Raw genomic sequence first — 25,287 nt, 5'->3', positions numbered from 1 at the left:
AAAATAGAAGGGAACTCTAAATTTCAGATAGAATTTAGTGAAAATAAAGACATGCATTTTAAAATTTTTTAATCCAAATCTGTGTGCTCTCCTGAGTTTTATCCATGGACCCTGTGAATCCTTGGTTAAGTATTCCTGCTATAATAAATTCCATTAAGTAAGTTGATTTGTTATTTCTGTTTATCTGTAAAGAATCTCAGTGAGTTTTTCTCTAGAAAAGACCCGGATAGTTACTTCTGGTGCCATTTTCTTATACAGAAATCATGACAGATTTTTCTGTATTTATCAGCAGCTGATAAACTGTAAAATGACAGAGAAAAGGCATCTAATATGGCTAATTTCTGATAATTGGGGTCACAAAGTATTTTTAAATTAAGATTTTCTAAAAAAAAAAAAAAAACAAAAACCCAGGAGACTTAGTTTAATATTTGTTTTAAATAATTTTAACTAATTAGAACAAATTAGAATTTATTTTAAAATTATATATTTTTTAATTGAAAAAGAATGAAAGGCTTTCAGGAATGGCACCAGAGGTTCTCAGAGGTTGTGGAAGTGGCAAAGAATTGTGACCACGGAGTTATAACTGAAGTCAGGGTGCGGGGTGCAGAACTCAACATTTTAGAAATGAAGATTCTCAAACTCAAGGAATGTTGCTGGGGCAGCTGTTCTTCGTTTTGGAGTAAGTCAGAAGAGCTGGCAGACTTGGTGAGGTTGTTAAAGCACGGTCAGTCTTCCAGAGCAGTGGCTGAGTCCTTAGAAAAAAAGCAAGAGCTGGAGGGTGCTGTGAGAACAGAGCCCTGCATATGCTTTCTACTCTGACTTGTGAGAGCTCCAATTCGCCTCTGTGGCTAAAATGTAAACACATGACAAAAATCAATACCATTATTTCAACAAATATTTTCCAGCCCTCCTGTGTGCTAAGCAGTAGGGGTGAGAGATGGAAAGCCATGGCCCCCACAGTGTGGAGAGTGGACGGACAGACAGAAGCAGTGTGTGCAGCCTTGCCTCTCATCAGAGTCACTGGGAGCAGGGTGCGTTTGGGGATTGTTACCTTGTCATGTGTAATCAGTGTTCTGATTCCCTGTGAGAGCCCTTAGTCTACTTTGAGCATTTCAAAACTCTAGTGGAACTATACCTTAATATGCCTTGAGCATACAAAGGCAAACAAAGATGTCACATTTGTTTAGTCTGGTTAGCATTTGTCACTCTGGAGTAACAACCCTGTGACTGTATGATGTTCCAAATTGTAATTATAAACATTTTTGAAGAAAAATATAATTGCAACAGAATAAGGAAAAATCATACAAAATTGGGGTTATGAGTGTGAGGAAGAATAGTTTCTGAACTATAGAGCTGGGCCTTGGGCTGGGCTGGAGGCAAATAGAAGAGGCTGGGAGTATAGCACTGGTGAAAGGGCCCAGATAAAGTGATGCTGTCCTCTGCTCCAGAGCCACTGCTGGCTCCCCAGTGCCCACTGAACAAACTATAGACTGGCATATATAATTTGCTCCAGAATAGCTTCTACTTACATTACATAAATATAGCACTTTATTCCCCAAACATTGCCGGTGCATTTATCTCTCCTTTTGCTCATGCTGATGATCACTGCCCCCTTTAGAATGTCTCATCCTCACCTTTCCAAACCCCCACTCCCCCAGTCCCTATCCCCCACCCCTGCCCACCCCCATGGACCCTACTTTTTCTCTTTAAGTCTGGGATACGTGTGTAGGACATGCAGGTATGTTACACAGGTAAACACGTGCCATGCTGGTTGGCTGCACCTATCATCCCATCACCTAGGTATTAAGCCCTGCATGGATTAGCTATTTATCCTGATGCTCTCCCTCCTTCCACCTCCCTGACAGGTCCCAGTGTGTGTTGTTCCCCTCCCTGTGCCTGCGGACCCTACTTTGATCTGTCCATGTCATCTGTCCCTCCTTTGGATCTCTATCCTCCCACCCCACACTTTGTAACCATCTCAGGATGCCTTTCTTAATCCCTGTGGCCTCCCTTTTGTAGCCTCTTCAAACCTCTGTCTACTCGACACCCATAAGGCAGGCTACAGGCTACAGGAGGGCAAGGCAAGGCCCTGTCTCTGTCGCCTTTGGATTTCCTGGAATCACAGCCTGCGGCCTGCTCCTGGTCGGGTAGCGCCTTCTCTCCATTCCTTCCCTGCCCACTGAGCCGCAGTGCTTCTAGGTCTGCACCTGCCTGACTCCTATCCAGCTCTGGAGCGGGGCGGGGGCGGGGGAAAGATCTGCATCTGGCCCCAGCTGCTAAGTCAATGTCAGCTCTGCTGAGCTGCTAACTGGGAAAAACTGGTTCATGATGGAACGTAAGGTTTTATTGTTGCTGTCCTTGATTAATAACTTTCACTTACAGAGAAGCAGTAAACAGTGCAGCTGCTTGTGTGGTCTTAGGCATTTCCAGCTCACTGGTATCATGAGCCTCCTCTTGTGTCTGTGAAATCAAATGTTAGAGGAAAAGATTTCCTGTTCTCTGGTTATCTTTTACCACATGTAGTTCTTTTGCAGACAGATCTCTTTTTCCGACACCACATTTGTAGTCAGGAAACTTTGGCTCATTCATTGAGATTTTTTAAATGGAATTTGCTCCATATATAAAGTTTGTTCCATTCTTAATTGTGTACTGAAATCATTGGGGAATTATATGCCTAAACTTCAGACTGAATGTTGTCTTATTTATTCAAGTAATATTCCTGAGTACTCTCCATGTGGCAGGTATTCTTTAAGTGGTGGGAGCAATGAGAAAAAACAAACAGAGCCCTTAACCTCATGGAGCTTACAAGCTCACTAAACCAGTGAAGATGCTTTCTCTGTACTTAGAGTCCAATGGACTGAGAACTCCGAGGTGAAGCACGCCAGGGGAGGATGAGGTGAAGGTAGAGATGGCCAGGTCCAGGAAGGCCTCTTGGGGGAAGGAAGGGAGGAGTGAACCCTGGGGAAAATGTTCTGAGTAGAGGGAAAGGGCAACACCCAGACTCTGAGATGGGAGGAAGTCAAACTGGAAAGGACAAATCACTTGGAACTTAGAGGCCGCCCCACTGAACCATACGGGACTGAAGAGGCAAACAACGTATGTTACAAGCAATTTTGCCTGTCTTCACATTCCTACATATATTCTTCTTCTTGTTTCAGCTGAAAAGCCTGTAATGTGTTCAGCCTTACTCATTAATGTGTTATGGACTTCTCTTCTGCTGTGTTTGAAATGTTTTTCCTTACTAAAATTGTTATTCAAATACCTTCCCTTAATTCATTTACACTTTAGAAGATAATAGTTCTATTAACATTTACAGGATAATTAAATATATAAATATATATTTCATCTAATTTCTTTTTTTCTTTCTTTCTCTTTTTTTTTTTTTTTTTTTTTTTTTTTTTGAGATGGAGCCTCACTCTGTCACCCAGGCTGGAGTGCAGTGGCACAATCTCAGCTCACTGCAAGCGCCGCCTCCCGGGTTCACACCATTCTCCTGCCTCAGCCTCCCAAGCAGCTGGGACTACAGGCACCTGCCACCATGCCCAGCTAATTTTTTTGTATTTTTAGTAGAGATGGGGTTTCACCGTGTTAGCCAGGATGGTCTTGATCTCCTGACCTCGTGATCCGCCCGCCTCGGCCTCCCAAAGTGCTGGGATTACAGGTGTGAGCCACCGCACCAGGCCAATTTCTTATAAATAAATGAACTTTCTCTTCACGTGGCTTTCTGTTTTAAAATTACAGATATATTTTTACCTCTGTATGATTCTTGGGGATTTAATGGTGAACAGAGTCAAGGGCCCTGCTGCTGTAGAGTTTACAGTCTAGTGGGGTAGGGGCTGTTTGTGATCTTTTTCATTTACCCCAGCTTTTGCGTTCAGTAGATTTCAGAATTTTAAAAATGTGTGCTCTTTAATTGTATTAATATTTTGAAGTAAGAGTACAGTATGTGGGGAGGAAATATGAGGGAGATGCAGTGGGTCAGTGTTGGCAGACCACTCACACTAGACTCCTGATGACTATAGCCGCCTCTCTCCCTGAACCTGAAATTTACCCCTCCCAGACTACCATTTGAGGAAGAGAGCTAGTCCATTATGAGAGACTCAGGACCAAGGCGAGGAATTGGAACACTGTAAACCCCGCAAGAGGGGAGTGGGCCTTGCAGAGAGTTCCAGAATAGTGCCTGATCAGCAGTGTCTCAGGATCATCAAAGATCCTGGCTTCAGGAGCTGGAATGTTACTTGCTGTGCTTCTTGGAAAAAGAGTCACAATGTGTGACATTTCTGACCTCAAGGATTCAGTTTTGGTGGTCATTTTAAATATGTAAAATTGTGAGCACTGTAGTTACCAACACATGACAACCACTCCACTAATCAGACACACTGTATTTTCTCTTGTAATCATCTAATATAAGTGATAGTTTGTCATTATTATGACTAGTCAATATATTATATGTGAATAGTGGCATTTATCTTATCCTACTTGGTTAGCATGCCCTCTTTCATCTCTGTTCAGTTTCACATAGTTATAAAATTAACATTTAGTTATAATGAGTTTGGAGGGGTAAAAGGGCTTCAGTGATCCTGGAATGATTGTTGTCATTTGTTTTATTTGCTGTGAGGTCTAGCACAGTGAACTCAGGCCTTCCCTGATGCAGCTTTAAAAGCACATGGGATTTACATTCCATTTTGTAGACTACAGAATTGACACGTGAACTTTCAGCATCTATATCTGGTCCCTTTCAGCCCATTTAAAGGACTAATTCTAATTTTCTGTTTCCTTTAAGAAAGGCTATGATTTACCACTCACAAATAAATGTGGACAATTCTTTGGGTATCTGTTTGTATCTTTGAATGTTGATAAATTAACTTTATGTTTGAACTTAAATTTCCTGCTTCCTATGACTTTAAATCTTTCTCTCATTTCTCTGGCTTTGCTACTCGCCCCTGAGGCTGCCCTGACTGCGCCTTAAGAATGATATCCCATCGCAGTGTCTTTGCGCATTTTCCTAACTATCTCCTCCTGCCTGCACTTCGAGTATGTCTAAGATTCTTCTTCTGCACTCTGAGTTCTGACTCTTTATATAGCGTAACTGTGAAAACTATTGTTATTGTTATGCTAGAGCTTTGGAATTTATAGAGAGTTTTATCTGTCTTGCCCTTTGAAATTTTACCTTTTATTTCAGTAATATTAAATTATCAAACTTGTTTTATCATTCTCATAGCTCATTTTCTTTCCTACTGGTTTTTGTGTTTTTGTGTTGATGTTTGTATATTTGACATTTAGATTTCTCATTAGTTTACTCACTGTCTTCATTCACTCAGCAAATACTGTGCCAAGGCGTGCTTCCGGCATGGGAGACACTGCGGAGAACAAGATGAAACCCAGCTCTCATGGAGCTTACCTTTTAATTGGGGAGATAGATCATAAATAAGTAAACAGATAAAAGTTTAAAGTTAACGTGAAATGAAGCAGGATAAAGACGGGTGGATAAGGATAGAATGGCAAGGACGGGATGTTTTTAGCGAGGGAGGCAGGGCAGTGGTGAGGGGCACAGCATACAGAGGGGTCAGCAGCGTGAAGGCTCCAGGCAGGACCAGCTGACGCCAGACTAGGACAGCAGGGTGGCCGGAGAGGCTGCATCGTCGTAGTGGGGGATAAGTGTGGTAGGTTATGAGGTCAAGTGCCAGGGTGCCAGGTGGGGGAGGACTCAAATTGAACTAGTTAGAGGTTCCTGCAGTGGTTCCCATGAAAGGTGATGCCAGACTAAATTAAGGTGTGGGCTAAGTGGTGGGAACTGGTTAAATTTCAGTGAACTGTGCAGGGAAGGAAGTGTTAGGGAAGATTTCTAGGTTTTGCTTGGAATGGGTGCTATTTACAGACAGGGAGGGGCCATGGGAAAGAAGAGCTTTGGAGACAGCTTCAGGAACCCTGTTTGGGGCCATCTCAGTGTGACATGTGAACATATGAGAGGCTGTTGCTCCAAGAGGTGCCCTGGAGGTGGGCCTTTGGGCCCATTTGGACAGATGGTGAATTGAGACCTCGGACTGAGTGATGACACAGCTGGAGGGTGGGTCGGGGAGAAAACCCTCAGCACTGAGCCCAGGGCTAGAGTCGGGGTGCAGGGGACCTGGTAGACCTGCAGGCACTGGCACAAGAAAGAGCCTGGAGACTTGATGCCAATCGAGTGGAAAGAAAATTGGAAGAATATGCGATGTGGGAGCCCACTGAAGAAAATCTTTCAAGAAAGCGAGTTTGGGCAGTATTTTGTAGGCTTGGTTTTTTTTTTTTTTCATCAGTCTGATTTTTTGTTCTCCTTATTAGGTGAAATAAGATTTTTACTGTTAACTTGGTCTGCATGCCTCTGAAAATGCAACTCTCTTTGTGATTGGATGCATACTTCATAATCATCCCATAGTATTGAGAAGATAGAGAAAAAGATAATGATAGAAACCAACCACAACCAAAACCCTACTCATTTTGGCTCCCAGTTATAACTATGGTTTAGTTTTGGGGGTTTGGAAGCTTCTTCTGTAAAGGTCCAGATCGTAAATATTTTCTGCTTCATGGGAAATAACTCTGTTGCAGCTATTCAAGCCTGCTGTCATAGTGTGGAAACAAGCATAGAAGACCTGTAAACAAATGAATGTTTATAGGGCTATGACCTATAAAACTTAATTACAAAAGCAGATGGTAGGTCGGATTTGGCCTGTGGGCTGTAGCTCTCTGGACCTTCCATGTTTTCGTGTGTTTCAGAATCACACTTCTAACCTTTAGTTTTACTTAAAAATAATCTCTCTCTCTCTCTTTCTTTTTTTAACCTACGTTTCATTTTGAGACAGTCTTGCTCTGTTGCCCAGGCTGGAGTGCAGTGTCATGATCATGGCTCACTGGAGCCTCAACCTCCTGGGTTCGAGTAATCCTTCTGCTTCAGCCTCTTGAGTAGCTGGGACCACTGGTATGTGCCACCACAGCCGGCTAATTTTTTTTACTTTTAATTTTTTTTGTAGACATAGGACCTTGCTGTGTTTCCCAGGCTGGTCTTGCTCTCTGGGGCTCAACTGATCCTCTGGCCTCAGCCTCCCAAAGTGTCGGGACCACAGGTGTGAGCCACTGTGCCTGGCCAACACTTCTAAGCTTTAGGAATTGATCAGCCACAATGTACTGTTCAGATTTTCTTTTTTTAAGGAAACCACTTAATTTGTTACTTTATATTGTAAAACACTTTGTAACCAATTAGATTTTATCAGCTAATCTTATCCTGTAGCATGTTGAATATCAAACACATATGCTTAATTTTCTCTGCAGTTACCTAAAAATCTGCAAACACACAACCATCCTTTCCCCCATGCTCCCCTATCTTATTTACTATCTTTAGTCTAACAGTGCTTAATTCTTTTCCATGAGTTATGTGCTCTAGGCGATTCCTCAGGGATCTAGAACTAGAAATACCATTTGACCCAGCCATCCCATTACTGGGTATATACCCAAAGGATTATAAATCATGCTGCTATAAAGACACATGCACACATATGTTTATTGCAGCACTATTCACAATAGCAAAGACCTGGAACTAACCCAAAGACCTGGAACAACGATAGACTGGATTAAGAAAATGTGGCACATATACACCATGGAATACTATGCAGCCATAAAAAATGATGAGTTCATGTCCTTTGTAGGGACATGGATGAAGCTGGAAACCATCATTCTCAGCAAACTATTACAAGGACAAAAAACCAAACACCACATGTTCTCATTCATAGGTGGCAATTGAACAATGAGAACACATGGACACAGGAAGGGGAACATCACACACCGGGGCCTGTTGTGGGGTAGGGGGAGGGATAGCTTTAGGAGATATACCTAATGCTAAATGACGAGTTACTGGGTGCAGCACACCAACATGGCACATGTATACATATGTAACCTGCGCACTGTGCACATGTACCCCAAAACTTAAAGTATAATAAAAAAATTAATAATGACCTATTAGTGATCTAAATTGGATTCCCTAGCATAAGTGAAAACTTTCATGTTGTACAGCTTCCTTATTCTATGTTCTAATGGTTAAGGTGCTTATGCAAGGATGTGTGGTTCACGGTGAATGTAACATATCCACATATAATCTATTCAATGTATATAGAACGTTCACCACGAATATAACATTTAGTGCCACCACTTGCTGTAGCTTCTCTGTGTCAGTGGAAATACTTACCTGTTCTTAGGATTAAATAATATATACTCGCAAAATGCCTAGGATGATATGCATGTGTCTGGTACTGAGTACTTAACAAATACTAGCTATTCCTTCTTGGAGCTGTTTAGGCGGCATGTCTATAAATGAAAAACTAGTCAAGGAAAGAGAAAAAACTCACAACATTCTCATTGTTGTTCAAAATTGACTGGTCCCTTGAAAAAGACTGCAAATACCATGGGATAAGAACTTATACCTAAAAATATTTTGAGTACAGACACTTGATGTCAGAGAAGATCTTCAGAAAGATCTAGTTTAAGGTTTCTTAATCTGCAATCCACAAATCTCTGGAAAGCGTAGGCAATTGTTTGTGTCTGTGTGTGCGTATGTGTTTCTCCTCAGAGCATCTGGCTTTTATGAGACCCTCACGGAGGGAGTGGCTGAATCCTGCTTTTGTGGTGAGCCTCATCCAGGGACTCACTTGGAGTCCTGGTTCTGCTGCTCCTAGGCAGTGTGGCTTTTAGCACCTCCATCTTTCTGAACCTCAGTACCTAGTTTCTGTTTCTCCTAGGATTGTTACAAAGCTTGAACAAAAGCACTTTTGAATTGTAAAGTGTCAAATAAATTACAGTTGTGGCCCTGCTGTGGTGAGGAAACTACGGCCAGGGGAAGTGGTTGAGTGATCTGCTCAGTGGCCACTACCAGTGGTCCCAGAGCCCTGACACCCGCTCTCCCAAGGCCTTCTCAATGCACTGTTTCCTCAAAATAAGGCCATGGCTTTTCCTGATAACAAAAAGACCCAGTGCAAAAACCATTCAACAGGGAAAAACTGGCCTTTTCAACAAATGGTGCTGGGACAACTAGATATCCATCTGCAAAAAATGAAGTTGGACCCCTAACCATACACAAAATTTAACTCAAAATGGATCATAGAATTAAGTACATGAAACAAAACTATAAAACTCTTGGAATAAAACATTAGGAGTAAATCTTCCTGATCTTGGGTTAAGTAAAGTATTCTTAGATATAACATTGAAAGCACACACAACAAAAGAAAAAGTAGATAAATGGGACTTCTGTGCTTCATAAGACACCTGTAAGAAGTGAAAAGACATTAGCCCAGCACTGTACCACATGCCTGTATTCCCAGCTATTCAGCAAGAGGCTGAGGTAGGAGAATCACTTGAGCAGGTTTTGAGGCTATAGTTTGCTATGATTATGCCTGTGAATAGCCACTGCACTCCAGCCTGGGCAACATAGTGAGACCCTGTCTTTAAAAAAAAAAAAGGAAGTAGGCTGGGCGTGGTGGCTCATGTCTGTAATTCCAGCACTTTGGGAGGCTGAGGTGGGTGGATCATGAGATCAGGAGTTTGAGACCACCCTAGTCAACATGGTGAAACCACGTCTCTACTAAGAATACAAAAATTAGCTGGGCGTGGTGGTGCATGCCTGTAATCCCAGCTACTCAGGAGGCTGAGGCAGGAAAATCACTTGAACCCGGGAGGCAGAGGTTGCAGTGAGTCCAGATCGCGCCATTGCACTCCAGCCTGGGTGACAGAGCAAGACTCCATCTTAAAAAAAAAAAAAAGAAAGAAAAAAAAGAAAAGAAAAAGACAACCCTGATAATGGGAGGAAAGATTGCAAGTCATATATTTGATAAGGGACTTGTATTCAGAATATATATATATGTATGTATATGCATATGTATATATATATAAACTTTTACAGCTCAACAAATGACCCAATTTAAAAATGGCTAACGGATTCAAATACACATTTCTACAAAAACAAGATACAAATGGCTGATAAGCATATGAAAAGATGCTGAACATTATTTATTAGGAAAAAGAAAAACCACAACAAGATAGCACTTCACACCACTAGGATGGATATAACAAAAAAGACCACAGCAAGTCTATGTAGGATGTGGAGAAATTGGAACTCTTGTTCATTGATGGTGAGAAGGTGAAATGACGCAGGCATTTTGGAAAATGGTCTGGTAGTTCTTCAAAATGTTAAATATAGTGTTACTGTATGACCCAGCAACTACATTCCTAGGTATATACTCAACCAAAGTGAAAACATGGTAAGCGAAGGAAGCCAGTCACTAAAAACCACCTATTGTATGATTCCATTTGTATGAAACATCCACAGTAGGCAAATATATAGTGACAGGGCTGTTGGGGTCAGAGTGAGAGTTGGGGACCAGAGAGTGGCTGCTGATACTAGGTTCTGAGGTACTGAGTACTAGGTACGGAGTTTCTTTTTGGGGTGATGAAAATGTTCTGGGCTTAGATGGTGATGATGGCATCTACTGCTGTGAATGTACTAGAAACCACTGAACTGTAAACTGTTAAAAGGGTGAATTTTATGGGTGTGAATTATATCTTAATGAACTGTTATTAGAAAAGAATAAAAATAACAGACTTCCAAATTTGCTTTCTTACCTTTGAAAGACTGTGGATGAAACATACTTTTTTTCTTTTGATTTCCCGGCAGCCACATGACCTTTACTCACAGGCCTAAATGACATGAGTTTAGTGGTCTAAATAGGGTCCCTGGTGAGCAGTTGCCTGAATACCATTTGCATGTGCCAGGGGACAGCTTCTGCTCCAGGGCACACATGCAGGACCCAGCAGTGACGAAGACCAGTGACCTTACCCCTCAAAGGGGTTTTTCCAGTTGAGGATTCACGAGGCAGCAGGGGAAGCCTGTTTGCACTGTGCCCAGCTATATTAGCCTACGAATAAACCAGTGACAAAGATTTTGAGCCTTATTATTTTAGGGGACTTAATATTAGATTATTTTGTTCATTATGCATAAATAGAATAATTTCAGAAAGCATATCAGTCACACTTGTTTTTAAAAAGTGCTCTAAAGAACTGCAAAATATCGAATTATTCCTCAGCATTCGCTTAGAAATTGGTTCATATATACATTAGCATCTTGCTGTATGCTCTGTGTCTCAAATTAAAAAAAGATTATGCATTCGTGTAATAGATTACAAATTTATTATTGTACCTTTAGAATAGAAAATAAAACAACCCTTTTTAAATTCAGCTGTGTTCTAAAGCACATGTTCCAAAACTTCTCTGTACATAAAAATCAACTGGGGCTCATTAAAAATGTAAATTTCCTAGGTCCCTACCCCCCAAAGAGATTGGTTCAGACTGAATTTTTAAGGAAGATCCCAGATAATTCTGAGGAATAGGGTTTGCCCTATAATAACCCATGCCCTAGGAACTCCAGCCTAGAATTACGAGTAGTAGAAGGGCGGTTAAAGTGTTCTTCACATTACCATAGGTAATTAATAGGAATTAAGATATTTTTAGCAATTTGATACTGTATGTAGATGACATCCACGTTCTTATTGTGCTGTTAGAAAATAATATTTTCTCACCAACATTTCACAGTGTGTGAAATTGTAGTCTTTGTTCCTGCTGACAGCACCTTTGTGCTATGAAGCTATTAATGCAGCCCTGTCTCCGCCTGCTTTTTCCAGATTTCCTTTGACCTCGCTGAGTACACTGCGGACGTTGACGGAGTTGGCACTCTACGACTTCTAGATGCAGTTAAGACTTGTGGCCTTATCAACTCTGTGAAGTTCTACCAAGCCTCAACAAGTGAACTTTATGGGAAAGTGCAGGAAATACCCCAGAAGGAGACCACCCCTTTCTATCCCCGGTCACCCTATGGTGAGAACATGCGTGCACACCGGAGCACATGTGTGGCGTTATCTGTGGGTGTGGGGGGTGTGTGTTTTTCCTTTCATTCTGTTCATGTCTCACAGCTGAAGTCATTTGGGTGTGAGGTTAACATTAAGGTAGACTAAAGTGACTGAACTTGTTGAGAAGCATACCTTTATACGTTGCTAACTACAAGTATTTGCTGCCATTGCCTTCGGGGTGAAATTACCACCTCACTTCACCAACCCATGTTCATTCAGCCCTTCCATACAGATCACTTGAAATGGAAAATCAGACCCAATGTGATTCTTTTTCTAAACTGTTATGAGATTATACTGAAGTGATAAGGTTTCATGTTTTTTTTTATTTTCCATGAAATTTCCTTGAGCTCAAAACCTTCAAAAAAAAAGACTATTGTGTCTAATATGTTTGTAAGGAGAATATTAATGAAAGACTTCAGTGATAAAATTTCAAAGCAGTTGGAATGTTAAGATCCTCATTTTTTTCCATTCTAATTCCTCAAAAGTTAGAGAGAGAGAATGAGAGAGAAAAAGATCTAAGAAAGATTCAATCAATTCGATTGTCAAATAATGCACTGTTGGCATTACAAAAGTAAGAAATTCTTAAAATATTTCCTGGTGAACATGATTGACAGGTGTAATAACCTTTATTTCGTCTTTGGGTTTTGATACTTTTTTGTATTTGGATGCATTACAAGTTATTATTTCGGCCAAGATGTTACTGTTGAAGATGGTGAGAATCACTGTCTTTTACAACAAACTTCATTGCTTAAAAAAAATTATTCCAACAGGGGCAGCAAAACTCTATGCCTATTGGATTGTGGTGAACTTCCGTGAGGCGTATAATCTCTTTGCAGTGAACGGCATTCTCTTCAATCATGAGAGTCCCAGAAGAGGTCAGTAAATATATTAACTGAAAAGAGAATTTCAGACTTGAACAACAACAACAAGTTGCATGTCTATTTGGTGTATGTACTACAGAGACTGAAAAATTTCCTATCTGTATCTAATTATGATGAATGTCAGAGCAGCAAATGAAGAAATGTATACCCAGCCTTAGTTTTTTGTAATTTTATTTTGAGTTTGTGGGATTTTAAATTTTAACATTAAAAACTGGACAGTGTTCCAGTTTTACCATTTTAATTAGTAGATCTTATCAAGCTTGTTTTCAACCTGAGTATTAGGAAGCTACTATATGAATGCAAAGGAATAAGTAGTAAACTAATGATTGTTTTTAGAAATTACTCCTATTCAAATAGACTCAATCTGTAGGATCTATGTTATTTTTTGACTTTGAATGGTTAGATATTTGGTATTCTTTCTTTACATTTCATTAAATAGACGTCCAGAAATTACTATGCTTCTAAATTATTTTAAAATAAAGTTGAAATCAGTTTTTTAACAAGATTTTAAAAAATTGACACATTTTTATGGAGTACATAGTAATGTTTTGAAACAATGTGTAGTGATCAAATCAGAGTAATTAGCATATCTGTCACCTCAGACATTTATTGTATGTTTGTGTTAGGAACATTTAAAAACCTCTTTTCTAGCTAATTGAGAAATACTTAATATGATAAACTATAGAGCACTCCACAGAACACTAGAATTTAATGTGTCTGTCTAGCTATAATTTTATATTCTTTAAGAAATCTCCCCTTATTCCCCACTCCCTTGAAGTCAGCTCTTAATTTAGAAGTATTATCAGGTATTTTTGGAAAACTGTATTTGTTTGTATTGGCTTGTTGCCTTTTCAGAGTTGTTGATGAGACTGTAGCAACGTGCTAGTTCTCTTGTTCCCAGTATTAAGTTTTAAGTAAGAAAATGTGTACCCCCATCATTACTTCTGATTTACTGAAGCATGAGAAAGCTTTACAAAGCATGCACATGCTTTACAAAGTAAAAATTATCTGTAAGCCTTCCAAGAAGTTTTATTAAATTTCGCTATCATTTAGATTTTTAGTCTGAGAATAAACGTGAAGTCCAATGTTATAAGTTGTTTCATGACCAACAACTAGTAAGCATATAATTTTTCCGTGAAATTTTATGTGACTATATAGCTGCCTAATTACACCAACAAGTCATGAAGAAAGATTAAAGCGACAGGTTTATAAATGAATCTTTAGCGTCAGTACATTTTTATTTTATAATTGCTTAAGTTAAAAATTCCCATGATGGGCTGTTAAAGCATAAGAACCTAGCCTGTCATCACATTGCCTGAAAGGAAAACAAATTCACAAGCAGTGAGAAACATTTCTTTAATGAATTTTGTGGTCCTGGGTGCCAGCGGTAAGGGAGAAAGGAAAAGGAAGATCCTAGCTGTGGTTGCCTGCAGCATGTGGTATGAGGGCGCCCACAGAGTCTGCTCAGTCGTGGTAATCCCTGCCTCTTTCTCACAAACATGTTCATACACATTGTTTGGGTTTCTGTGTTCTTCCTCCCTCAACTTTTCCACCTGCAAAAAAAAAATAAAAGTTAATTGTTGTGAATCAGGTCAGGATAGGGAAAAACATTCCTGGGTTGCAAAGTAAAAAAAGATAAATTTGAATATAACTCCCCCTAATTCTCTCTTTGTGTACCTCCTAATGAGAACTTATTTTTTGTCTTTGTAGATGTTAACCACTAACTAAAAAAAAAAAAAAAAAAACATATTTTAAGGCCAGGCACAGTGCCCCACATCTGTAATCCCAGAACTCTGGGAAGCTAAGTTCGGGGGATCACTTGAGCCCAGGAGTTTGGGACCAGCCTGGGCAACATAGTAAGATCCTGTCTCTCAAAAAAATAAAAAACGAATCAGCCAGGTGTGGTCATGGGTGCCTGAAGTCCTAGCTACTCGGGAAGCTGAGTTGGGAAGATTCTTTGAGCCCAGGAGTTCGAGGCTGCAGTGGGTTATAATTGTGCCACTGCACTCTAGCCTGGGCAACATAGTGAGACCCCTGTCTCTAAAAAAATTGTTTTAAAGTAATAAAAAATGTTCTAAAAGTAACACGTCTTCATTTAAAATAAAATTTTAAAGTAAAAGTTCCCACCCTCGTGATAACTGCCAGCCCTATCCTCAGACCCACTGTTAACATTCCTTCAGAAAAGTTCTCTCTTTAAACATACAAAGAGGGTTCTGCTCTACATATTGTTCTGCAGCGTCAGGCTTCTATTAAATCTCTTTAGGAACTTGACCTCAACTGTAGCATACACCATTTTGTTTTGTTTTATTATATGCCTGGAAATCAGTGGTACCACATTTTTAACTATATGATCAAATAATGAGAAAAAGAGATGTACGTGAAAATGATATTAATACTTTGATATGTAATGCCTACTATTTACAGCATTTCTTAAAACTTGATCATTAATTTTCAGATTAAATTAATCTGACAGTAATGTTGTTTTCCAAGGAGATTTCTTTCCCAGACTGAAAATTCCATAATGGCAGGACTGTGTTGTATTCATACATCTCCAGCTTCCAGGCAATGCCTAATTGCTAATAAGCATTCAGTAAATATTTTTAAATGAATGAATAAGTTAATATCTCATGTTTCAGGAACAGCTTACTGACTTGAAAGCTAGGTGGTCTGAATTACAGAAAAGTAGAAATTATATCGATATTTATAAATATATACATATTGTTGATTTTACTCATATAGTAATTAAAGCTAATAAATGGGCCGGGCGCGATGGCTCATGCCTGTAATTCCAGCACTTTGGGAGGCCGAGGCAGGTGAATCACTTAAGGTCAGGAGTTTGAGACCAGCCTGGCCAACATGGTGAAACCCCGTCTCTACTAAAAATACAAAAAATTAGCTGAGTGTGGTGGTGGGTGCCTGTAATCCCAGCTACTCGGGAGGCTGAGGCAGGAGAATGGTGTGAACCCAGGAGGCAGAGGTTGCAATGAGCCGAGATTGTGCCAGCCCAGGCGACAGTGCGAGACTCCATCTCAAAAAAAAAAAAGCTAATAAATGATTTTGAAGTAAAGATTCAATCTGATATACATTAATAAACAGATAAAATTTGTTTTTTGTTAATAATCTTTGTAAACCTAGAATTTCCTGTGGTACTTTAAGTGAGTTTATTTTCTTAAGTTGGTTGAACATTTACTCATCAGTCTTCTTGTTCCCTGTTATTACAGGGAACAAACCCTTTTTTTTCTACATGGTGTAGAAAAACCTTGGTAAACCTCAATCTAGTCCTAGGTATCCAGTCACCCATGCTGAATTTGTAGAGCCCAAGTTGATGCAGTTTTTGGGGGCCATATACTTTTTCTCTAACAAAGTGTAATTGTCAAAGGTGCCCTCTCACTGCATGAATAACATTTCATGAGAATTTCTGACTTTCAAAAGTGGGGAAAAGTATTTTTTAATCTAACAATAGGCTAAACCAGAAGTTGACAATCTAGGACTCATGGGCCAAATCTGGCCTACCAGCATAGTTTTGAAAATAAAGTTTTATTGTAACACAGGCAGATGCACTTGTTTATATATCATCTATGGCTGCTTTCATCTATGGAGTCTTGTAGTGTGCAGAGCCTAAAATATTTGTTGTCTGGGCCTCTAAGAAAACATTTGCTGGCCCCAGCTGTAGACAGATCCTCAACATTCGAGAAAACTTTCACTTGGGTTGATTGTGGGTTTCTCCTATGGTAGCAAGGTAGTCTTTTAGAAAGATTTCCTATAAATGTTAAAGAGCATAGTGAGCCAGTCCTTAAGCAGAATTCTGAAGTGCTTTGGCAGGTTGGGGTTCTGTTGTACTTCACTGCTGTATGCAGGTAACCAAGTGCTCCAAAGGATCAAGCACTATGACCAAGTGCTCTAAAGGAAAGCTAGTTGTCAGTGATGTATGAAACCAAATAAGCTAGTAACTGATGATATACATGTAGCATAGTTTGTCCAACAACCACAACTCCTGAGCTTGGACACGTGCTCATTACGGTTTTGACTGCCTTCTGTGTCTTTTCTCCATCCCAACCATTTTTGGTTTTCTTTCTTTTTCTTTTTTTTTTTTGAAGACTTCATTTATTTATTTAGGTTTTCTTTCTAAATATATTTGTTTTGAGAACCGTGTAATACATCTAGAGATGTAAGAATCACCTATGCTAGCATCAGATCAACAGTTGGAAATCACTGATTTAGGGAATAGAGCCAATAATCTGCGACTTTGCATCCCTCAGTCAGCCTTCCAGTCACTCCGTTGGTGAAAGCAAGAGGGTGGATGGCACTTGTGCTATAGACTTGCTTCTTATGAAATGGGAGCACTTTAGTAATATTTACTACAAATTAATAAGAATAACAGAATTTTAGAATTAAATGTCTATAAGTCATGAAAATGTATATAGTAGTATATGTTTTATGAATAACTATTACTATGTATTATATACTGATATTCACAGACATTAACCAGGTGCTTTCTTTCATATGTACTCAGTTTTTTAAAATAAAAAAGTAGGCAATCATAACCTGCATAACAAATTTTGGTAAATGATGGACTGCAGTGGTCCCATAAGATTATCATACTGTATTATAATTAAAAAGTCACATTTTTACTGTACTTTTTCTGTTTGGGTACACTTAAATACACGAGTTTAGGCATATGTTATTTTATTGCTTCGTAGATATTGCTTTTTTCTTCTTTTCATACTGAAGGTGTGTGGCAACCCTGCATTAAGCAAATCTGTAGGTACTATTTTTTCAGGTGTTCACCTCCTGTCTCTGTGTCGCATTTTGAGAATTCTCCTAATATTTCAAACTTCTGATTATTATTATATCTGTTACGGTGATCTGTGATCAGTGATCTTTGGTTTTGCTGTTGTGATTGTTTTCAGGCACCATGAACTGCACCCATAAAAGACAGTGAATTTAATCCGTAAATATTGTGTGTGTTCTGGCTGCTCCACCAACTGGCCATTACCACCCCCTGCCACCGCCGCCCCGTTCCCTGAGACACAACAATATTGAAATTAGGCCACTTAATAGCCCTCCATTGGCCTCCAAGTGGAGGAAGTAGTTGCAGATGTGGGGGAAATAGCAAGAGAGCTAGAATTAAAAGTAGAATCTGAAGATGTGACTGCTTTTATCGTGTGCAATCTCATAATAAAGTTTTCACTGATGAGGAGCTGCTTCTTATGGATCAACAAAGAATGTATTTTCTTAAGATGGAATCTATTCCTGGTGAAGATGCTGTGAATGTTGTCAAAATAACAAAAGAAGGGTTTATAATACTACATAGGTTTAGTTGTTAAAGCAGCAGCAGGGTTTGAGAGATTGACTCCAATTCTGAAACAAATTCTACTGCGGGTAAATGCTGTTACACAGCACTGGATGCTACAGAGAAATCTTTCCTGAAAGGAAGAGTCAGTGATTGCAGCAGACTTCATTGTTGTCTTATTGTAAGAAATGGCCACAGCCGCTCCAGCCTTTAGCAACCACCATCCTGATCAGTTAGCAGCCATCGACACTGAGGCAAGCCCTCTACCAGCAAAAGGCACAGATGGTCATTAACGGTTTTCAGTGATAAAGTAATTTTTAGTTAAGGTTGTACAGGGCTTTTAAAAACATACTATTATTACACACTTAATAAACTGCTTTTTCCTTTTGTATTGTTTCTTCAAACCTGAAATTGTGTATCTCCCTGGCTGTTCCATTACATATCTTTATTTTTATATTTACATACATACAGTATTCTTTTTGCCACAAATGTGGATATAATGATAGCTTTCTACTGGAAATACAGCTTCACATTATCTGTAATAGAGAATAGACTCTCTAGGGAAAAAGGTTTTGTTTATTATCTCAAACTGTTTAATATCTATGAGGAAATAGACATGTACAAAAATTTTCTTGCCTTATTACATTTCTTTGAAAAACTAAACAATCAGACTTGTCATAAAGATATTAATTATTATATAAGTTGTGAACTATGGGGAAAATATTGAGAGGTTTTTTTAATTATTTAAAAATAGTTCATAAATAAGTATATTAGTTTCTTTTCAAATATGTTATTTACCAGTAATAAAATCTACTCTTAAAGATTATGCTATAAATTGGAACATGGGAAGCAAGCCTATTTAGTAAAGCTAACAATATTTCTAGTTTTGACTGTTTATTACATTAGGAGGTAAATAAGAAGAATAACTACTGTTCATCACATATGTAATGTAACCAGTTGGGGCTAATTATGTCTTAATTCTTAACATTGGCAGAGTACTTTGGCATGCCATAAATACAAATATGGTGACCTTTACAAAACTATAAATAACACTAATATGAGTGTATTCTAAATTAAGAAAAAACATTTTGCATGATAATTAAGAGGGAACAAAAAATACATTCTACCTTCTACTTTTGGAAGGTTAAAAAATTTAATGATTAGATTATCCCTGATTTCCTAATTTTGATGACAGTAGCTATTGTGAATAAAGGGTGAAACACACATAATATTCAGCATTCTTTTTTTTTAAATGTGATTTTTCAGTTTTCAGTATGAGTGTAGAATTAGCCGCTTTGATTTCCTACACTAAGAACAGCAGCCTCGGTTTCTGTGAGACTTCCTAGGGTCCACGTCCTGGAGGAGAAAGCCCTGACCCAGGGGTGTGACGGAGAAAGTTGTTCTGTGCTGCCGGCTGTTGGCAGGCCTGCCTCTCATACCCAGCAGCCCTTTGCTTTCCGCAGGAGATCAGTTGAAGATTTCCGTCTTTCGATGAGGATATTTTTCTTATGTTGACTCATTTTAGTCTTTCGATCATTAGGAAAGTTTGGGCAATGTAGTAACCTCTACTTCCAGGACTGACTGAGGAGGTGATGTTTGGTTACATGAGCCTACCTCGTGGGCCGTTGGTTACCAGCCGTGAGTCACTCATAGGGATTGGCTTCATCCCTGGATACCTTTAGCCTGAGTAAGAAATCACGTTCCCTGTTGACAGCGTATTTCTTCCATTCTCCTCCCACTCTTTCTTCTCTCAGTGTTTAAGAATGGGACATTTACTCAGTCTGGGTAAAGCATTCTCTCTCCCTGTGGATCTTCTTTTCTCTTCCTTTCCATATTTGCCTAACGCCTAACTGAGCCTCTCTTCTACTTGCCATATGTAACTTTGCTCCTCTGTCTCTGACCATGGGGCCTTGCAACAGATCCATCACTACCTTCTTCCCCCAGGAGCGCTTCCGTTGCTAAACTGTCTGTTCAGAATTTCATGAGATCCTAGTAAATACTTCCAGAAAGCTGGTTTATTTTGTATTTCATTCTGAGTCACGAAGAACTTTTTTTAATCATCTCCCAGCTGAGGAATCAGAGGGGTTTGGCTATCATCATCATCATCATCCTTACTGTGAAAAATGCACGCTCATTAGCTCTTCGTGTTGCGTTTGACATAGTGATTTAATACTCCACAGGTACTTTCAGAGACATTTTGACTAACTTGTTTAACTTACAAATTTTTTATCTGTATGTGGAAATGAAATTCATGTGTACTTCTATTTTTCTCTATTTTTTAATTTTAAAAATGTGTATTAAGCCATTAGATACTATTTTTTCCTTGAAAGAGCTTCTAGGGAGCAGCCAGTTAACATCCACCTGTAGGTATTCTCCCAAAATACCCTCAGAATTTGTGAAATAGGAATTTAAAGCTTCTTTCATCTCCCTTTTTTCAGCAATGAGGAAACAGAAGCAGCATGAGATTGAGTTGTCCAAGGTCGTGAAGCCAATAAATGCTAACACGGAGACCAGAAATAATCCTAGGAGAAGTCATGTAAATATTGTACATATTTGTGGAAATAACATATATACGAATTTTAGAGTTGAACTTGAGCAAAGAAACCCCTGTGACACTGAGTGGGCCACCTCAGCTTGGCAGTGAAGCAAGTGGACAAGTTGGAAACGGAATGTCTCAGCTGCTCTTATCTTTGTAAAAGACCATTAGTTTGCTTAAAGGCAATATTCCTTTAAGATGTTTGACAGAAATAATTACAATAAACATAGTTTTATAATATTAGAATATAAATGTGATATGAAATAAATAACTTCTCTTGCCTGTTATCAAGAAGTTGGTAATAGGAAGAACTAATATAAAAGACATTAAAAATCAGGCCGGGCATGGTGGTCATGCTTGTAATTCCAGCACTTTGGGAGGCTAAGACAGGAGGATAACTTGAGGCCAGGAGTTGTAGACCAGCCTGAGCAATATAGTGAAACCTCATCCCTACCACAAAATAAAAAATAAAACATTAAAAATCATGTGGCAATGGGAAGCTATAAAGTACTTTAAATATACCCATAATTAACCGTGTGAGATTGCCACAAATGGATGGTGTACTAGCACTGTTTAGATACTGAGCCATTTCTAGATGAGATAGGACATTCCTTTAAATATGGGCTTCATAAGAAATCATATACATCAGTCTAAACACAGTATTCACCTGACTGAAAGAATCTGGCATTTTTAAGGTTCATGAACTTGTGGTTTTGAGTTTTCGTCTTGAGCATTTTTTTAGCTGCCAAGTACTTTGCTTTATAAAATGTCTGACTGTATTTATCTTTATAAATTAATCTTCAGAATTTTTAAAATAATTCATGTAAAAATTACTTGTCAAAATTTAAGTAAAATTTGGGGTAATTTTCCTTTTGATTTGTTTTTTAAAGATTGTCTTTATTTGTTGCTGTAAAGATAAGATTAATGCTCTAGAATAGTGGTTCTCAACTAGGGGTGGGGAATGGGGAGAGAGTGGCTCTTTCCTCCAGAGGACGTCTGGCAGTGTCTGGAGATATTTTTCTTGTCCCAACGGAGGAGGGGGCTACTATTGGTGTCTGGTAGGTAGAGGCCAGGGATGCTGCTGAACATCCTACAGTGCACGGGATGGCTCTATAACAAACGCCTGTCCTGTCCAGATGGTTCATAGTGGTGTGCACGGGATGGCTCTATAACAAACGCCTGTCCTGTCCAGATGGTTCATGGTGGTGAGGATAAGAAACTCTGCCCTAGGATGTCATCCTTCCAAATGTGCTTGCAGAATCTGTGTGAATGCCACCTGTAACAGATGAGATGAATGCCATCTCATTTTTCGTTACACTTCAGTTTTACTTTACAGTAAATTCTTCATAGAACAACAGTAGGGTCTCATTTTTCTTTAGGTATCACTTTCACTTTACAGTAAATTCTTCATAGAACTTTAGCAAACATTTACGTGAACACCAAAGAAAACATTCGGATTCAAATAGCTCCAGGGCCTTAAGTATTATGGTCTGCTGCAGGTCAGACCCAACTCAAACCCAGGACTCTTCTAATCATTGGAGGCTGAACCCTCACCTCAGTGACCCACTGATTCACGAGCCAAGTCAAGATGGGTTTGGGACCCTCCCAAGCCTCCAAAATCAATGAACATGTTTACTTTTTGTTATTAGTTATAAGAATAACACATTTTTCATTTGAGAATAAGTTGTAGAGTCCATGATCTGGCTTTGATATAAAACAACAGTTAGAACTGATTCAAGATTATCTTTCAATGCATAGGATTATACTAATATTAGTGTGAAGGGTTCACTGCATATGAGAATTTTCCTTTAAAACTATTAGAATTCATAGATGTTTTAGTGCTTTAGGGAATAATATAATGCATGATAGAAATTAGGTAACTGGGACTTGTTTTCAGTTAATCACAATAGGCAGAAAACACTTTCTCTCTGTGTAAATACTACATATAACATGTCTAAATAAAATAATCTTTAAAAAATTACTGAATATTGGCCAGTTTGGCAAATTCAAATCATGCACTGTAGAAGTATCAAACAGGCAAACCAATAGCAAATACCTTAATATTTTGTTTGTATTTCTAGCTATAAAAGGTGCTTTGTGGCTTTTGTAGATGAGCATCAGAGACTTAATTTATTGCAAAAAATTTTAGCAGCCCATTGTGAAATCAGGGGATGAAGTAATCTCCTGTTGGAGTTCAGTAGAGCATTATAGGTTTTACACAATACCATTTGTCTGTCCATAAATGGTTAGATTGTTGGCCGCTACTCTTGGACCCACCAGGTTCTGGGTAGCCTTTCTGGTTGGGGCACAAAGTGACATCATCTGGTTTACCATTGCATTTGTAGACTATGATACTTCATAGATGACATGTACACTTGGCGATCACAAAGCTGTCTGGCCCATGTTATTCTTTGTGGAGAGATGAGGTGTAATTGCTTAAACATAAAAGACTTTTGAAGCAATACTTGGTCTAATGCAGGTGCTGATTACCACCAAACAAAATGAAATCCCTCCCATCTCCTGAGGTGAGATTTCTGGAATTGTTAAATTGAATTCAAGGGGTTGTTTTTCAGTGTTTTGTAATGTCTGTGACATTTATGTTTGAAACCAAACTGATAACTGTCTGATGACATGTAGCACAGTTCCCTGCAATATAGCCACGCAGTATATATACACAGAGAATTTGGCCACTCATCATCAGCTGTGTGCATTTGGGCACGTCACTTACTCAGATCTCAGTTTCTGCATCTGCACATGGAGAGGTTAATAACGCCCACCTGATGGAGCAAAGTGCAGCTCTGTCATTTCAGCTCACTGTGAAGGTGATGGGGAAAACTTACAGGGAAAAGATTAATACAGTGCATAGTAGATTTTGAAGATTTATTTCATATTTCCTTTCTCTTTTCTTCCCTGTTCCTGTATTTTCAATGCTGAAAGCTAGAGAATTAGTTTTTTTACTCCTTCCCTTCCAAAGTGAAAGACCCTGTTGGAGGCAGCTCTGTTAGTGGGATTGCTGTGGCTACTGGCATAAGAGGACAGTGAGAAATGTGAACGCTGCAGTGCCAGCCAACAGAAGATGGTCCTGAACCAAAAGCCAAGAATCTTTCAGTGGTGTTGACAGATAAAACAGAGTAGTTCGGCGAGACACCCGTGAATTGCAAAAAAATAAAATGTAAGTAGTATTGAAGAATTGCTGGAATCACAGGAAAAGCCATTCAAAACGAGATTTTGGCAGGTAAACCAGTTAACATTTGAATTAGGAAAGTCAAGAAAAGACGATGATGAATGAAAGGCTTATGGATAAATATCAAGGACGTGTGAAAGATTCTTAAGAAAATTAGTGAAACTGTCAAGTATTTTTTTTTTAATAGAGACACAGCCTCACTGTGTTGTACAGTGCTCAGGCTGGAGTACAGCGGTGATCATAGTTCACTGCAGCCTCGGACTCCTGGGCTCGAGAGATCCTCCTGCCATTGCCTCCTGAGCAGCTGGGTCGACAGGTGTACACTACCACACCAGGCTAATTTTTTCAAGTATTTTTTTAAGTGATACATGTATTTTTTTAATGGTCCTGTAAAAATCTTACATGAAATGTATATGGTTGTGTCAATTACAAGAAGAAAACCTTACTTTACTTTGTGACTAGACTAACAAAAATTACATAGATGCAGTTGTAATTTAAATTTTGTTAATTGTAAGTGGAAATTTTTCTTCAAAATAACATTCTTAAGTTTTTGAAATTTAGTTTGAGTCAAAACTTTCTTTTCCACTATTTGTTATGGAATATTGTTCCCCTTTTTAAGTGGTTCACGTAAGGATATAGAAGTGTTCAACTACTTGGACTCAGTCTAGGTTCTACTACATACTAGAACAACTCTGGCCAGTTTCTCAATCTCTCTGAGTCTCAGTTTTCTCATCTCTAAAATGGGGTAATCATAGTGTTCACTTAAGGTTGTTATAAGCATTAAAGGAAATCGTGGAAGTGAAGTTATTAGCACGTCATTATTATTACCATCACTGCTGCTAATGTCCCACCTAGAGAAGTAAGCTCAGTTTGTGCCACCTCGCAACTTAAAATTAATAAACAGAAGGAATAAAGGGGAAAATGCATAAAGGAACATATGACTTTGTTTTCTCTGAACAAGTTAAAAAAGTTAAGGTTTCAGAGCTTAGTAAGTGATAAGTAAAGTAGGTAAGATCTGGTAAAGTAACTTGTGGGATATTGAATATTAAATGCTAGAAGAATAATGGTCTTTGCTTCTGTTGTTTATGGGCTAATTCCCAGATATTGTTATTAGATGTTTCTGGTGTGGACAAACTCTAATGATTCCTAGAGTAAAAAATTCCCAGATTAAGCCAGATTTTATGTTTCAGAAGGTTTGCGTCTGCCTTCTATTTCTGTTGGTAAGTTTAAGATTCCTGAAAGGCTGCTAAAGCAGGATGTACGTGAGGATAACCAGCCCATGAGGGTATGCAAGTAAGGAAGTGAACATCAGTGCGGTCACAGAGAAACCCTCCTGGCAGCAAGAAAGGTGGGTTTTCAGCACAATTGTATCAGAGGAATAAGGGAGGCCCTAATGCCCACACAGTGTAAAGAAGGCTTGGTAGAGGTACCCAGGAAAGAGCTCAACCCTGGCCCCAGTGCCTCTTATGACC

At 39.0% G+C, this 25,287-nt stretch overlaps 1 protein-coding gene across 12 annotated transcripts in view, besides 1 other annotated feature; it reads left to right on the top strand.

Annotated features, from left to right (window-relative positions):
• Positions 1-25,287, top strand: part of GMDS (GDP-mannose 4,6-dehydratase) — a 621,800-nt gene that overhangs the window by 272,943 nt on the left and 323,570 nt on the right. For 8 of the 12 annotated variants that reach the window (NM_001500.4, XM_011514500.2, NM_001253846.2 and 5 more), the window contains 2 exons: positions 11,697-11,889; positions 12,692-12,796. In NM_001500.4, coding sequence (NP_001491.1) covers positions 11,697-11,889; positions 12,692-12,796 — 298 coding nt within the window. Of the gene's footprint in view, positions 1-11,696; positions 11,890-12,691; positions 12,797-20,533; positions 24,732-25,287 lie in introns of those variants that run through there. The other 4 variants (XR_007059239.1, XM_011514506.3, XM_011514505.3 and 1 more) reach the window with 4 other exon arrangements.
• Positions 19,049-20,248: an enhancer, noted in NCBI's record as "P300/CBP strongly-dependent group 1 enhancer chr6:1952649-1953848 (GRCh37/hg19 assembly coordinates)". NCBI's record gives its function as "activates an origin of replication core promoter dependent on BRD2, BRD4, P300/CBP, MED14 and CDK7 cofactors, with strong dependence on P300/CBP, by STARR-seq in HCT116 cells {active_cell/tissue: HCT116}" and the evidence as "EXISTENCE:reporter gene assay evidence [ECO:0000049][PMID:35650434]".

Source organism: Homo sapiens, chromosome 6, assembly GCF_000001405.40.
Source record: "Homo sapiens chromosome 6, GRCh38.p14 Primary Assembly".
In the NCBI taxonomy this organism is placed as follows: domain Eukaryota; kingdom Metazoa; phylum Chordata; class Mammalia; order Primates; family Hominidae; genus Homo; species Homo sapiens.
This window is presented reverse-complemented; position numbering and strand designations above follow the sequence as displayed.